Raw genomic sequence first — 15,911 nt, forward strand, 5'->3', positions numbered from 1 at the left:
CCTGCACATAGTGATACACTCCTGTAGTCCCAGCTTCTCAGGAGGCTGAGAAGGGAGGATCACTTTATCCCAGGAGTTCGAAGCAGCAGTGAGCCCTGATGGTGCCGCTGTATTCCTGCCTAAGTGACAGGGCGAGACCTTGTTTCAAAAAAGCAAACAAACAAAAAACAGTAAAAAGGGCTCTGTACAGACTGTTGATAAAAATGTTTTCTGAAATAGGTGTTATGGGTGTTTTTATTTAACTCAGCTCTCTGCACCTTATGTCCTGGAAGGGAGGGGGAACGGGGAGAGGAGAGATGAATAATCAGAGCCAGAAGCTATGGTCAATAATCATATGAAATCCTGCGGTGGTGCAGCAGCCTCTGCTCTGTGGGTGACTAAGAGGCGAACTCTCCACTTCCAGTACTATTCCTTGAAGATGTGAGCAGCTGTCCTGCAGGAAAGACGTGGGCTGCTGGCCAGCCCTTCTATCTCAGATCCAAACATGCATTCCCTTTCCAGATCCTCTGTCCTAGGCGGTGGGCGGGGGCAGCCGGGGGAGGGCGGGCGCCTAGCTTCAGATCCTTGATCCATCTTATCTTTGCACAGCTGTCCCTTTTAGGACTCAATAGACTTAACTTCCTGTTTAGGTTCTCTTTTCCATCAGGAGAGACTGCTGGCTGTCTTCTTCCTCTAAGCAGAGGTGCATAAAATTAAATGTTACCTAAAGTCTCTGTGTTGTGGGAGAAGTTAAAGGAGCAGTGTGGTAGGCTGTCACACAGGTGACCCCTGCTGAGCCATGCCTCCTTGTATACTCCCCTGCCCTTGAATTACAGGCCAGGGGACCTGGCCCTATGACCTGCTTTAATCAGTAGAAGCCGGCAGAAGGGGTGCTGTTTGGAGCCTGGGACTTAAGGCCTGGAAGCTTCCGCTTTGGCTATCTGAGGGAAGCCAGCTGCCCTGTAGGAAGACGACTGCCCTAAGCCCAGCGTGCTGTGAAATAGCCCTCATTAAGTTTTACAGTGGTTTGTTATGAACACTAGATAACGAAAACAAAGAGCCACCCCACTGCGTTATATTTAGGGCCTGTATTTCCACCTTAGGGGAACAGCAGCTTAGGGGAGAAGGTAGTGTTTCTTCTCACAGGGAAAGAGAGTGGTTGTTTAACAGACGTCTTCCATGCATAAGAGGATGCATAACACTGCAAAGCATCATCAAATGCTGACTTCCCCTCACTGCATTTCTTTCCTCTGGCTCCTTTTCTCCCTCCACCCACCCACCCACAGCGTTTTTTTTAGACAGGGTCTCACTCTGGTTGCCCAGGCTGGAGTGCAATGGCGTGATCTCAGCTCACTGCAGCCTCAGCCTCCTGGGCTCGGTGATTCTCCCAACTGAGCCTTCTGAGTAACTGGGAATACAGGTGCACTCTATCAAGCCCGGCTAATTTTTTTGTATTTTTAGTAGAGAAAGGATTTCGTCATGTTGCTCAGGCTAGTCTCAAACTCCTGGACTCCAGCAGTCTGCCCACGATCAGCCTCCCCAAGTGCTGGGATTATAGGTATGAGCTACCACGCCCGACCTCCTCCCCCTTTTAATGAGCTGATCCCCCCGCACCCCGGATTTGCCTTCTGCTTCTTCCCACTCCTGTCATTTTGCCTGTGCTGTGCCATCCACCTGCAACACTCCTCCTTTATCAAAATCACTCCAGTTTTTCTGAACCCTTGTAAGGTATAACTTTTTTTTTTTTTTTTTTTTTTTTTGAGACAGGGTCTCACTGTGTTGCACAGCCTGGTCTTGAATTTCTGGGCTCAAGTGATCTTCCTGCCTGTGCCTCCCAAAGTGCTGGGGTTGCAGATACGAGCCACCGCATCTGGCCTAAGTATAACTGTTTTAATAGTTTTCCATGAATACCTCAGCCCCAGCAAAAGCTGTTCCTTTCCTCTGAAATCCATCCCCAAAGCAATTCTAAGTGGAAAATTGATTTGGCCATTAGTCAATTTGTAACATCATTTCTCTTATTGTCTTGAACTAATAAGCAAATGTACCTTGATTTAACTTTACAGTAGTTTGTTTCTTGTTCACTGAATCAGATCGTAGTTCATTAAGAACAAGAATATTGGGCCAGATGCAGTGGCTCACGCCTGTAACCGCAACACTTTGGGAGGCCAAAGTGGGTGGATCACGGGGTCAAGAGATCGAGACCATGCTGGCCAACATGGTGAAACACTGTCTCTACTAAAAATTCAAAAATTAGCTGGGCATGGTGGCGCACACCTGCTGTCCTAGCTACTTGGGAGGCTGAGGCAGGAGAATCACTTGAACTCGGGAGGCGAAGTTTGCAGTAAGCCGAGATTGCACCGCTGCACTCCAGCCTGGTGACAGAGTGAGATTCTGTCTCAACAAACAAACAAACAAAACAAAACAAAACAAACAGGAATATTGGCTGGGTGTGGTGGCTTAGGCCTGTAATCCTAGCACTTTAGGAGGCAGAGGTGGGGGGATCACTTGAGGTCAGGAGTTTCAGACCAACCTGGCCAACATGGTGAAACCCCGTCTCTACTAAAACTGCAAAAATTAGCTGGGTATGGTGGCGCCTGCCTGTAGTCCCAGCTACTCAGGAGGCTGAGGCAGGAGAATTGCTTGAACCCAGGAGCCAGGGGTTGCAGTGAGCAGAGATCATGCCATTGCAGTACAGCCTGGGGGACAGCAGCGAAACTCTGTCTCAAAAAAAAAAAGAACAGGAATATGTGTTGTCATCCACTCATTAGAAAGTTAGTAAATATCTATTGATTTCAACTGTATTTACCAGTTCTATCGAGAACAGGCAGCCAAATAGTTTTATTTTTAAAGCTCTCATATCCTATCAAAATGATTGCAACAATTTTAAACTTTTGCCTAAGACTAGGGGATTTCTGGGAATGAGAAACTTCAGTTTTAAAACTGAAAAATTAGCCGAGTGTGGTGGTGCGCACTTGTAGTCCCAGCTACTCTGCAGGCTGAGGCAGGAGAATCACTTGAACCAACGAGGCAGAGGTTGCAGTGACCTGAGATTGCGCCTTTGCACTCCAGCCTGGGTGACAGAGCAAGACTCTGTCTCAAAAATAAATGAATAAATAAAATAAATAAGACTGAGGACATCCCATGCAAACCAGGACAAGTTGGCTACCCTACTTATAAGTTTATTGCCCCATCTAATTCACATGGTACCCCACCCAGTGTTTCAAACAGCAGAACAGTTGCCCAATCCTATTTTCACATAAACCATTCTCGTAAGTTCTATTAGTTCAAACAGGTGGTCTCCTAAACAAGTTTCACTGTCATTTAAATTTGATAGGCTTTTGAAAATCATTTGTGATAATTATACATTACCATAATGGAGGTTGTTTTCATAGTAGAAGCTATAAAAAGGAAGGATAAAAACTTGCTGGATTTTCTCCAGTTTGGGTGTTGGAGGGAAGGTGTATGTGGCAAGCACATGTCATTCAGCCCCAGATGGTCTTAGTATATTCCATCCTGCTGCAGAGGAAGTTCAGGGCTTCACTAAGACCTTAGTTAGACCTTTTGCTACATTGTATTGAAACATTTACCTGTCACTCTTTACCTCCCAGTACTGTGAGCTGCTTTTTTTTTTTTTTTTTTAGACGGTGTCACCAGGCTGGAGTACAGTGGTGCGATCTCTGCTCACTGCAATCTCCGCCTCCCGGGTTCAAGTGATTCCCCTGCCTCAGCCTCCACAATAGCTGGGACTACAGGCATGCGCCACCATGCCCAGCTAGTTTTTTTGTGTTTTAGTAGAGATGGGGTTTCACCATGTTGTCCAGGATGGGCTCGATCTCCTGACCTCGTGATCTGCCCGTCTTGGCCTCCCAAAGTGCTGGGATTACAGGTGTGAGCCACCCCGCCCGGCCTACTGTGAGCTTCTTAAAGCCAAGGGCTGGTATATTTATATGACAACATTTATAAAACACATTCAGTGTGCCAGATAATGTTCTTTGCTTTTTACAAATTTTGTGTGTGTGTTTTTTTAAGAAACATGTTGTAATAACATGTTCTCAAAGTTTGCTTCCAAAGATGTTTCTCTGCCAAACTCTTATATTCACTAACTGAAAACAGCTTTTGATGCATCTTTAAGAAATCATGCTTACATTTGCCTTTTTTTGGTATAAATTTATGGGGTACAAATGTAATTTTGTTTCATGCATAGATTGTTTGGTGGTGAAGTCAGGGCTTTTAGAGTATCTATCACCCAAATAACATACATTGTACCCATTAAGTGATTTCTCATTATCCATGCCCCTCCCACTCCCTCCCTCTTCTGAGTCTCCATCGTCTATCACTCTGCACTTTAATCCATGTGTCCACATTATTTAGCTCCTACTAGTAAGTGAGAACATGCAGTATTTGTCTGTTTCTGAGCTGTTTCACCTAATGGCCTCCAGTTCCAACCATGTTGTTGCAAAAGACATGATTTCATTCTTTTTGAGGCTGAATGGTATCCCAATGTGTATGTATACATATATATATCACATTTTCTTTATCCAACTATCCATTGATGGACAGTTAGGTTGATTCCATATCTTTGCTATTGTGAATAGCGGTGTGATAAACACATGAGAGTAGATGTCTTTTTGCTGTAATGATTTCTTTTCCTTTATTTTTAGTTTTTTGAGAAATCCCCATACTATTTTTCGTAGAGAACACACTAATTTACATTACCACCAACAGTGTATTAGAGTTCCCTTTTCTCCACATCCTCACCAACATGTTATTTTTTGTCTTTTTAATAATGGCCATTCTGACTAATATAAGATGATCTGTCACTGCGGTTTTAATTTGCATTTCTCTGATGATTAGTGATGTTGAGCATTTTCTCATATGTCTGTTGGTCATTTGTATGTCTCCTTTTGAAAAATATCTGGGAGGCTGAGGTGGGCAGATTGCCTGAGCTCAGGAGTTCGAGACCACCCTGGGCAACATGTTGAAACTCCGTCTTTACTAAAATACAAAAATTTATCTGGGTATGGTGGTGTATGCCTGTAGTCCCAGCTACTCAGGAGGCTGAGGTGGGAGAATTGCTTGAGCCCAGTAGGTGGAGGTTGCAGTGAGCCAAGATCGTGCCACTGCACTCCAGCTTGGGCAACAGAGTGAGACTCTCTCTCTCAAAAAAAAAAACAAAAAAACTGTCTATTCGTGTATTTTGTCCACCTTTTAATTTTTATTAGAGACAGAGCCTTGCTCTGTCACCCAGGCTAGAATGCAGTTGCATGATTATGGTTCATTGTAACCTTGAACTCCTGCTTTGCCCACTTTTGTTTTGTTTTTTGTTGTTGTTTGTGATGGAGTTTCACTCTGTTGCCAGGCTGGAGTGCAATGGTGCGAACTCAGCTCACTGCATCCTCCGCTTACCAGGTTCAAGCAATTCTCCTGCCTCAGCCTCCAGAGTAGCTGGGACTACAGGCTTATGCCACCACACCTGGCTAATTTTGTATTTTTAGTAGAGACAGGGTTTCTCCATGTTGGTCAGACTGGTTTCGAACTCCCGACCTCAGGTGATCCGCCCACCTCGGCCTCCCAAAGTGCTGGGATTACAGGCCTGAGCCACCGCACCCGGACTTTGCCCACTTTTTCAGTGGGGTTATATGTTTTTCATTGTCGAGTTGTTTGAGTTCCTTGTAGATTCTGGCTATTAGTCCCCTGTCGGATGCATAGTTTGCAAAATTTTTTTCCCATCTGGCAGGTTGTCTGTTTACTCTGTTGATTATTTGATTATTTCTTTTGTTGTGCAGAAGCTTTTTAGTTTAATTAAGTCCCATTTGCCTATTTTAGTTTTGTGGCCTGTATGTTTGAGGTCTTAGTCATAAAATTTTTGCCTAGACCAACGTCCAGAAGAGTTTTACCTAGGTTTTCTTTTAGTATTTTTATAGTTTCAGGTACATGTAAGTCTTGTAATTCATCTTGAATTCATTTTTGTATATGGTGAGAAATAGGGGTCCAGTTTCATTCTTCTGCATACGGCAATCCAATTTTCCCAGCACCATTTATTGAAAAGGATGTCCTTTCCTCAATGTACGTTCTTGTCAATTTTGTTAAATATCATTTGGCTGTGCTTTCTTACAAATGTTGACTCATTTAATTCTCATATGACCTTTATCAGAAAGGTGCAATTATTATTCCCATTTTACAGATGAGGAAACTGAGGCACAACTTGACAGTGGTTAACCAACTGTCAAGCTAGTAAATGGTAGAGTTGGAATTTGAATTCAGGCAATTTGGCTCCAGAATGTGTTTTTTTTCTTCTTCTTCTTTTCAATGTTTAAAAATTTTCAATAGAGGGCCGGGTGCAGTGGCTTAGACCTGTAATCCTAGCACTTTGGGAGGCTAAGCTGGGCAGATTACCAGAGGTCGGGAGTTCAGGATGAGTCTGGCCAACACGGTGAAACCCTGTCTCTACTAAAATACAAAAAAAATAATTAGCCAGGCATGATGGCGGTGCCTGTAATCCCAGCTACTTGGAGGCTGAGATGGGAGAATTGCTTGAACCGGGGAAACAGTGACTGCAGTGAGCCGAGATCACACCACTGCACTCCAGCCTGGGCAGCTGAGCAAGACTCCATCTCAAAAAAAAAAAAAAAGTCAATCGAGATGGGGTCTCACTATGTTGCCCAGGCTTGTCTCGAACTCCTGGCCTCCAGTGGTCCTCCCCACACAGCCTCCCAAAATGTTGATATTACAGGCATGAGACACCAAGCCCGACCCCCAGAATGTGTTTTAATCACTACATAATCCTGCCTAGTCCTTATTTATTGTACCACAGCACCTAGCTCCATCTCTGGCATGAAGTAGATGTTCAACAGAATATTTATTAAAGAATAAACAAGTGGCTGGGCATGGTGGCTAATGCCTGTAATCTCAGCACTTTGGGAGGCCAAGGCGGGTGGATCACCTGAGGTTGGGAGTTCGAGACCAGCCTGACCAACATGGAGAAACCCCATCTCTACTAAAAATACAAAATTAGTCAGGCGTGTCAGCGCACATCTGTAATCCCAGCTATTCGGCAGGCTGAGACAGGAGAATCACTTGAACTCAGGAGGCAGAGGTTGCGGTGAGCTGAGATAGTGCCATTGCACTCCATCTTGGGCAATAAAAGCGAAACTCCATCTCAAAAAAAAAAAAAAAAAAGAATAAACAAGTAAATGATTCCCTTTTGTACAACAATCACATTCCAGGATAGGATATTCTTGCGGAGTTCTAATTTAAAACATTCTGCCATGTTTTCAAAACATGTTAAATTAGGCATGAGATGATACATCTGGATTTAGGGATCAGAAACAGTGGCACAGTTTCCATAAGATTATTAATTCTATTTATTCTGATTCTATGTTCAACACATCATCTTCAAATTGATAATTCTTAGTCTGCCATCTTAATACCAGGAATGAGGTGCCCTGGGATAATGGTTGTCAAATGCCAAGCACTGGAAAAATATCAAGTGTTGACCAGGTGTGGTGTCTCATGCCTGTAATCCCAGCACTTTGGGAGGCTGAGGTGAGAGGATCACCTGAGACCAGGAGTTCATGGCCAGCCTGAGCAACATAACAAGGCCCCATCTCTAGAAATATATTTTTTTATTTTTTATTTGAAAAGTATAGAACGTTTTGTTTTAGAGATGAGGTCTTGCTATATTGCCCAGGCTGGAGTGCAGTGGCTGTTCACAGGCACAATCCCACTACTAATCAGCACAGGAGTTTTGACCTGCTCCATTTTCGACCTGGGCTAGTTCACCCCAGGTGAACCTGGTGGTCTCCTGCTCCCAGGAGGTCACCATATTGATGTCAAACTTAGTGTGGACGCCTGATCGACATAGCACAGTACAGCCCAGAACTCCTGGGCTCCAGTGATCCTCCTAGCTCAGCCTCCCGAGTAGCTGGGACTACAGGCATGCGCCACTGCTCCTGGCCTCTAGAAAAAATGGTGTGGCAGTGTGAGCCTATAGTTCCAGCTACATGGGAGGACAGCTTGAGCTCCGGAGTTCAAGGCTGCTGTGAGCTATGATTGTGCCACTGCCCTCCAGCCTGGGCAACAAAATGATACATTGTCTCAAAAAAAAAAAAAAAAAGAGAGAGAGAGGAAGAAGAGGAAATTTGGACACAGAGAGGTACAGAGGGAAGACCATGTGCAGACTCAGGGAGAAGATGGCCATCTTCAGAGCCAAGACAGGCCTTAGAAGAAACCAGCCCCGGAACACTTTGATCTTGGATGTCTAGACTCCAGAACTGTGAGAAAATTAATTTCTGTTGTTTAAGCCATCCAGTCCGTGGTACTTTGTTACAACAGCCCTAGCAAACTACCCCAAGGCCCTAGCCAGGAATGTACCTTGTTAGGATACTATTTTATGGTAGGGGCTGCTTATCTTGTATTATAATCTGGTCTACAGAATCTTTCAGCTAAGGATTCCATGGTCCAGAAAACTTTCTATGCTAGTGGTTCTTATGTATTCCCTGACCAGCAGCATCAGCAGCTCCAAGGAACTCATTAAAAATACAAATTTTCAAGCCCATTCTATAACTATGAAATCAGAAACTGGGAGTGGAGCTTAGCAATGTGTGTGCCCTCCAGATGATTCGGCTGCAAGCTAGAGTTCAAAAGTCACTGATCGGCTGGGAGAGGTGGCTCATGCCTGTAATCCCAGCACTTTGGGAGGCCAAGGCAGGCAGATCACTTGAGGTCAGGAGTTAAAGACCAGCCCGGCCAACATGGTGAAACCCCATCTCTACTGAAAAAAAAAATACAAAAATTAGCCGGGCGTGGTGGCAGACGCCTGTAGTCCCAGCTACTCGGTAGGCTGAGGCAAGAGAATCGCTTGAACCTGGAAGGCAGAGGTTGCAGTGAGGTGAGATCGTGCCACTGCACTCCAGCCTGGGTGACAGAGTGAGACTCCATCTCAAAAAAAGAAAAGAAAAGAAAAGAAAAGAAAAGAAAGCTACTGTTATACAATAATAACTAAATTTGGTTTGTTTTTCAACTCAACTTTATTAAAAGAGAAAGAAAAAGAGATGACAGGTACATCCCAAGTTCCAAGAATCCCCATGAGGTTAAAGGGGCATTTGTTTCATGTATAATCAATCAGAGGCTGCCCCTCCTCTACTAATGGTGCCTTGGTGCCCTGTCTGCTCTAGCTGTGCCTTCAAGACTAATTCTGGCACACCTTGCCAGAGTGCTCCCTGAATGCCTTTTTCTCCTTAAAGAAGCCTGCAGGGAAAGGAGCTTTGGGCCCTGCTCCACGCTTCTGGGGAACCCCAGGTGTTCTCATGAGCACACCCAGGCCAAGGCTGGACCCTTTTTCAAGGGGCCAACCACTGCCGCCTCCCCATTTTCCCCTACCGACCATTCTGTACAGGCGCTGCTGCCTATTACAATGCCTTCTTTCAGGCTGGGGGCTCTCAGCCGTCTCTCTCTCTGCCGTCACTGCTCTTGGGGTTGTCTCCCACCTTGAGATGCTCTCTCCCCTTTGCAAGGAAGGAGCCACAGAATCCTAAGATGAATGTTCCCTAACTTGCCCTTACGTGCCAGGGCTTATGCAACTACTGACCACCTCAGCCTCCCTGCTCCTGGGGGCCTTTCCTGTCCCCCAAGAGCATCAGTAAACTCTTCTGACTCTGGGTGGTGGGGGGTGATAGGACTGATTATACTTTCACAGCCGTAACTACTGCTATTATCTATCAGAGCTTTGTTCACTTTCAAGGTGCTTCCTGTAACATGCCAGCTGTAGCTCCCACTCTCTTAAGTGGGCTTCTTTCTTTCTGTGTGATTTTTGCTCTGCTTTTATATCAGAGAGGTCATGTACACTGACTTTGGGACAAGAGGAGAACAAATTCTAGTAGTTCATCCAAAGTACCTGGAAAGTCTACCGCAATGTGCAGGAGATATTGACTTCATTGTTATTTTCTGGGTGACACTATCCAACTCCCCTTGGCAATAGCTCCTCAACACTTCCCCATTTAACAATTCATGCCCACTATGTGTGGGCTTCACTTATCCTAGGGTTAGAAGACTATCTGTGTGCAAGCCTTGATGAATGAGCTATTTGAAGACAGCTAGTTACTTAGAAAGGCCTGAAAATGTTTCACTATTTTAAAGTAAATATTCCTAAAGTATTCTTTTGTAGTTCTGCCACCCTTGTTTGTTATTTCTGCCATTAAAATAGAGTGGCCAGGCGCAGTGGCCCATGTCTGTAATCCCAGCACTTTGGGAGGCTGAGGCAGGCAGATCGCAAGGTCAGAAGATCAAGACCATCCTGGCTAACACGGTGAAACCCTGTCTCCACTAAAAACACAAAAAATTAGCCAGGTGTGGTGGCGGGCACCTGTAATCCTAGCTACTTGGGAGGCTGAGGCAGGAGAATCATTTGAACCCGGGAGGTGGAGGTTGCAGTGAGCCGAGATTGTACCACTGCACTCCAGCCTGGGCAACAGAGCAAGACTCTGTCTCCAAAAAAAAAAAAAAAAAAATATATATATATATATATAGAGAGAGAGAGAGAGAGTGTGTGTGTTAGGCAAAAAGCCTAGGATGCAATTGTGATGTAGAACAAGATTGACCTTAATATTTATCCTCCTTATGCCCTTATCATCCAGTTTGCTGGTTTCTGGAACCCTGATCATGAAGATAATATATTATCAACTCATCCAGATTATGCTGCTAAGGTAGGGAGGGATACCATATAGACTTCTACTCATATGCCAACATTGACTAGCCTGCATAGGCTGCCAGCAGCACTGTGTTGAGGATTCCCTTTTTTTTTTTTTTGAGATAGAGTCTCACCCTGTCACCCAGGCTGGAGTTGTAGTTCACTGCAACCTCCACCTCCTGGGTTCAAGCGATTCTGCTGCCTCAGCCTCCTGAGTAGCTGGGATTACAGGTGCCAGCCACTATGGCCAGCTAATTTTTGTATTTTTTTTTTAGTAGAGATTGGGTTTTACCATGATGGTCAGGCTGGTCTCGAACTCCTGACCTCATGTGATCCACCTGCCTCAGTCTCCCAAAGTGCTGGGATTATAGGCATGAGCCACTGTGCTCGGCCTTTTTTTTTTTTTTTTGAGATGGAGTTTTGCTCTTGTCGCCCAGGCTAGAGTGCAATGGCACGATCTCGGCTCACTGCAACCTCCACTTCCCAGGTTCAAGTGATTCTCCTGCCTCAGTCTCCCGAGTAGCTGGGATTACAGGCACCCACCACCATGCACAGCTAATTTTTGTATTTTTAGTAAAGGCAGAGTTTCACCATGTTGACTGGGCTGGTCTCAAACTCCTGATCTCTGGTGATCCACCTGCCTCGGCTTCCCAAAGTGCTGAGATTACAGGCATGAGCCACCATGCCCGGCCACCTTGAGGATTCTAAGGCTAATTCCAGACTCTGTGAGAAAGCATGCGATGATAGATTAGTAACACCTGCTGTCAACTGGCAGCATGCCTGGGAACTTGCCTAGAATTTGCCATCCCTGTGTTAAAAACTTAATATATTAGCTTTCTATAGGACATTTGCATGTTAAAAGAAGAATGTGAAGAAGACAACCATTTATTAAAAGACTGATGAAATATGGAGGCTCAGACATTGGTAGGTCAGTGGGATATATTAAATACATTTTGCAGGAGCCATAGAGATAGTTGAGGAAGGTGGAAGCAACATCTGTTCCACAAGAAAGAATCAGCTTGAAAGTGTGCAGAGAGAAATTGCTTATCCTAGCCTTACTAACTACCATTTTATAGACCTAATATTAACTCAAAATTCTGGTTAAATGTATAAAATATGTCCAAGGTACTGTGATTTATTTTGTGATTTATTTAGTTTCTATTTAAAAAACAATTTTCCAGGCTTCGCATTGTGCCCTGGCTAAATTGTTTATTTTATTCTCCTTTGTCTGATGTGAGCCAAGATGCCTGGGAAGGCGGGCTTATAGAAGGCATGGAAGGTACTGTGTGTGATTTTCCTACTGGACTGAGCACATCTTTGGTGCTCAACAAATAATAAACCACCTAAGTGCTGCCACGTACTTGGGAACCAGCTTTTTTCCCCAACAGAGTCTAAATGAGAAGCTCCTGGCTCAGCAGCACTGAGAACTAAATCCTTTCAGCACCTTAGTTGTTTATGTAATCCCAGCACTTTGGGAGGCCGAGGCGGGGAGATCACTTGAGGTCAGCAGTTCAAGACCAGCCTGGCCAACATGGTGAAACCCTGTCTCTACTAGAAATTCAAAAATTAGCTGGGTGTGGTGGCGCATTCCTGTGATCCCAGCTACTCAGGAGGCTGAGGCAGGAGAATCGCTTGAACCCCAGAGGCAGAGGTTGCAGTGAGCTGAGATTGCGCCACTGCACTCCAGCCTGGGTGACAGAGTGAGACTCCGTCTCAAAAAAAAGAAAAGGAAGAAAACAGTAACAGTAGCCACCAAATCCACTGCAAAGAAAGGAAACAAAGGTACTGTTGATTACAAGTCCCAAATATATTTACAAGCATTTATTTAGTGTGTAAAACCACACTACCCTAAAAACTCTGTAGCAAATGCTCCTTTTGAAAGATTTTTCTGCATGAGTAAGACTTGTTGCAACTTTTGAAAATATATGGTTTAGAAAGACAACTTTCCCTAATAAATCACCTGTGGCAAACAAAGGAATTCTTCACTCTTCCAAAGACCTCCAAACCACATTGAAAATGAAGGTCATCTGTCTCACACGTATTCATTGCCGATTTGATGTGCACAGATGCCTGTGAAAGTCTTTGAATAGAAAACGCTTCTACAGTGTCGCCTTGCTCTTCCTTTTCAGAAAGAAATTCGCTGCCAAACTCCGTATTTGAGATCCTGGACCTTCCACGCTGCCCACATCAGGAGCTTTAGCCAGCAGCCTGGTCAGTGTTCTCAGGCCAATGCGATGTCATTAGGGCTTGGTCCAGTAATCCAGTGGTTTCTAGTATTAGCTTTAGTCACTTAGGGTGTACTTATTTCCAATATAGTGAAGGTCTTTAACGTGGGAGTCGAAAGCCCAAACCATTTCAAATCATGGGTGGAAAACACGCATGAAAATGGTTTATAAAGTATAAACAACTTTGTAAACAGTATAGCCAAGCAAAGATAGAATGTTATATGCATTGCCTGAAGTAATGCATAAAGGCAGAAGTTTTAGCCAGAATGAAAGATTGTGAACTGGGGGAGGGACAGGGGGCGGCAGTGTTGAGGCAGAAAAGCTGGAGAAGAAGAGTGGGAACTTCCTCCTCAACTTGCTGCCCATAGAGAAGCACGCCCCTCTTCCTGATGGCTGTGGGAACTAGGTCAACCTGGACCGCTAAGTTTGAACCCTATCGTGGCAGCTTTTCAAATCCCTTTCCTGGACTCCTACTCCAGAAGGCAAAATGGTTTCGGTTTGTCTTTATTTCCCATCTTTTCACCCAGGTCCTCAACTACATGCTAATCCCCGCCGGACCATCGTTCAGTTTTATTCACAGAAACGGTGCCTTCAAGAAATCAAAGCATAAGAGCCTTCGGAAGCAGCATGTAAGTGCAACGTAACTTTCCCGAGTTTGGTGACGATGAATCGATGAATCGTAGACTGCAGGCTGAGCCGCCTGAGCTGGGAGCAGCAGCAGTTCTCAGGGAGCCACTGCCCCCTGGTGTCTCCACACTGGCCAGGAAGCATTTTTGGTCATGATCTGTAAGAGATTATTGCTGGGCTCTTTCTGACTCGTGCCTTCATCTCATGGCTTTTAAAATCAGACCTTTCTTCCTCCTCTCCCCCACTCTGATTTTTAATAAGACCCATTTTATTATAATTAGCAAAATAGTGTATACTCCTTGAAGAAAATTTGAGTATGATTATTTAATTTCATTAATGTTTTAATGTATTTCCTCCCCCAATTTTTTTTCTTTCTACGTATAAGGAAATCTAATTTTACTTGGGGACAGAAGAAAAGCCACAAAAACTATGAAACCTAATTTTATCATAAATGTCACATAAACACGATCCCCTGCACAGTAAGAAAACCAGTTTTTGAATCTGCTAGAATACTAAGAAACAGAGTTGATGTTTCTCTCTTAAACAATATAAAACATAAAGGATAGCACTTTAGATCATAGGCCCTCATAAAATGTGCCTGTAGTTTCAATACTATGGATTAAGAATACTGGAGCGGGTTTTGGCCGGGCTCGGTGGCTCACGCCTGTAATCCCAGCACTTTGGGAGGCCAAGGCGGGCAGATCACGAGGTCAGGAGTTCGAGACCAGTCTGGCCAATATGGTGAAACTCCGTCTCTACTAAAATACAAAAAGTAGGCGGGCATGGTGGTGCGCGCCTGTAATCCCAGCTACTCAGGGGGCTGAGGCAGGAGAATCACTTGAGCCAGGAAGGCAGAGATTGCAGTGAGCCGAGATTGCGCCACTGCACTCTAGCCTGGGCAACAGAGTGAGACTCCAAAAAAAAAAAAAAAAAAAAGAAGACTGTAGTGGGCCAGTGGGCCAGGCATGGTGGCTCACACCTATAATCCTAGCACTTTGGGAGGCTGAGGCGGGCAGATCACTTGAAGTCAGGAGTTCAAGACCAGCCTGGCCAACATAGTGAAACCTTGTCTCTACTAAAAATAGAAAAATTAGCCAGAAATCGCTTGAACCTGGGAGGCAGAGGTTGCAGTGAGCCAAGATTGTGCCACTGCATTACAGCCTGGGCGACAGAATGAGACTCCGTCTCGAAAAAAAAAATACTGCAGTGAATGCAACTATAGACACTCATTAAATTAAATATTATCTCATTTTCAACACAGAAAAATAAAACTCCCTGCTTTAAAGAGAGAATGTGTCAATTATGTAATTTGGCAGTCTAAATGGTCCCGTTATTGGCAACTGCTTTCACATGTGATTGATCATATTGCTAAATATTGTGTAGGTATGTTGCTTCCTCTCACCATGGAGAATATAGAAACAGAGGCTTAGATCTGGGTATTATAGAAGGAGGTGAGAACGAGGTCTTTGCTTCCCCAAGTTCCTTTTCTTCTGTATTTTATTCATTGTGTGTGTCAGTTAAATGCTTATACAATACAATATAAACATAGTTGTATGATGTCAGAGAGTAACTGTGGATGAGAACTGGAATGGGGTAGAAGGAAGCTTAATGGTTTCAATATTTTGTCTGATGCTTTATTTTCTTTGAAGACCCTGCGACTAAGAGAGGACATTTCAGTATGAGCCGGAATTTGATCTCAACTAGGAGTTTAGAGAGGGACAGGTGAAAGAAGCCCTGGAACATGGGTTCTCAATTTTTTTTATGCTGAGATCACTTTAATTCTATGGGAAGAAAACTCCATGGCTGGATGTGGTGGCTCACTTCTGTAACCCCAGCATTTCAGGAAGCCAAGGTGGAAACCTCATTTGAGCCCAGGAGTTTGAGACCAGCCTGGGCAACATAGTGAGACTCCCATGTCTATTATTTAAAAATAAAAATAAAAAAGGCCAGGTGCAGTGGCTCACGCCTGTAATCCCAACAATCTGGGAGGCCGAGGCAGGCAGATCACTTGAGGTCAGGAGTTCGAGACCAGCCTGGCCAACGTGGTGAAACCCCATCTCTACTAAAAATACAAAAATTAGCTGGGCGTGGTGGCGCGTGCCTGTAGTCCCAGCTACTCAGGAGGCTAAGGCAGGAGAATCCCTTGAACCTGGGAGATGGAGGTTGCAGTTAGCCAAGATTGCACCATCGCACTCCAGCCCGGGCAACAAGAACAAAACTCCGTCTCAAAATAAATAAATAATAAAGACAAATAAAACAAAATGCTTTTTTTGTTGTTTTTATTTTTTTAATTATACTTTAAGTTCTGGGTTACATGTGCAGAACGTGCAGTTTTGTTACATAGGCATACACGTGCCATGGTGGTTTGCTGCACCCAACAACCTGTCACCTAC

General features: G+C 44.4%; 1 long non-coding RNA gene and 1 pseudogene across 1 annotated transcript; one reads left to right on the forward strand and one right to left on the reverse strand.

Annotated features, from left to right (window-relative positions):
• On the reverse strand, positions 7,642 to 7,936 carry RN7SL492P (RNA, 7SL, cytoplasmic 492, pseudogene; annotated as a pseudogene).
• LOC105377668 (uncharacterized) lies at positions 8,216 to 14,211 on the forward strand. The gene is made up of 3 exons (XR_941082.2): positions 8,216 to 8,254; positions 12,796 to 12,877; positions 13,419 to 14,211. It is a non-coding gene; the product is annotated as an uncharacterized LOC105377668 (long non-coding RNA).
• The last annotated feature ends 1,700 nt before the right edge of the window (positions 14,212 to 15,911 follow it).

Source organism: Homo sapiens, chromosome 4, assembly GCF_000001405.40.
Source record: "Homo sapiens chromosome 4, GRCh38.p14 Primary Assembly".
Taxonomy (NCBI): domain Eukaryota; kingdom Metazoa; phylum Chordata; class Mammalia; order Primates; family Hominidae; genus Homo; species Homo sapiens.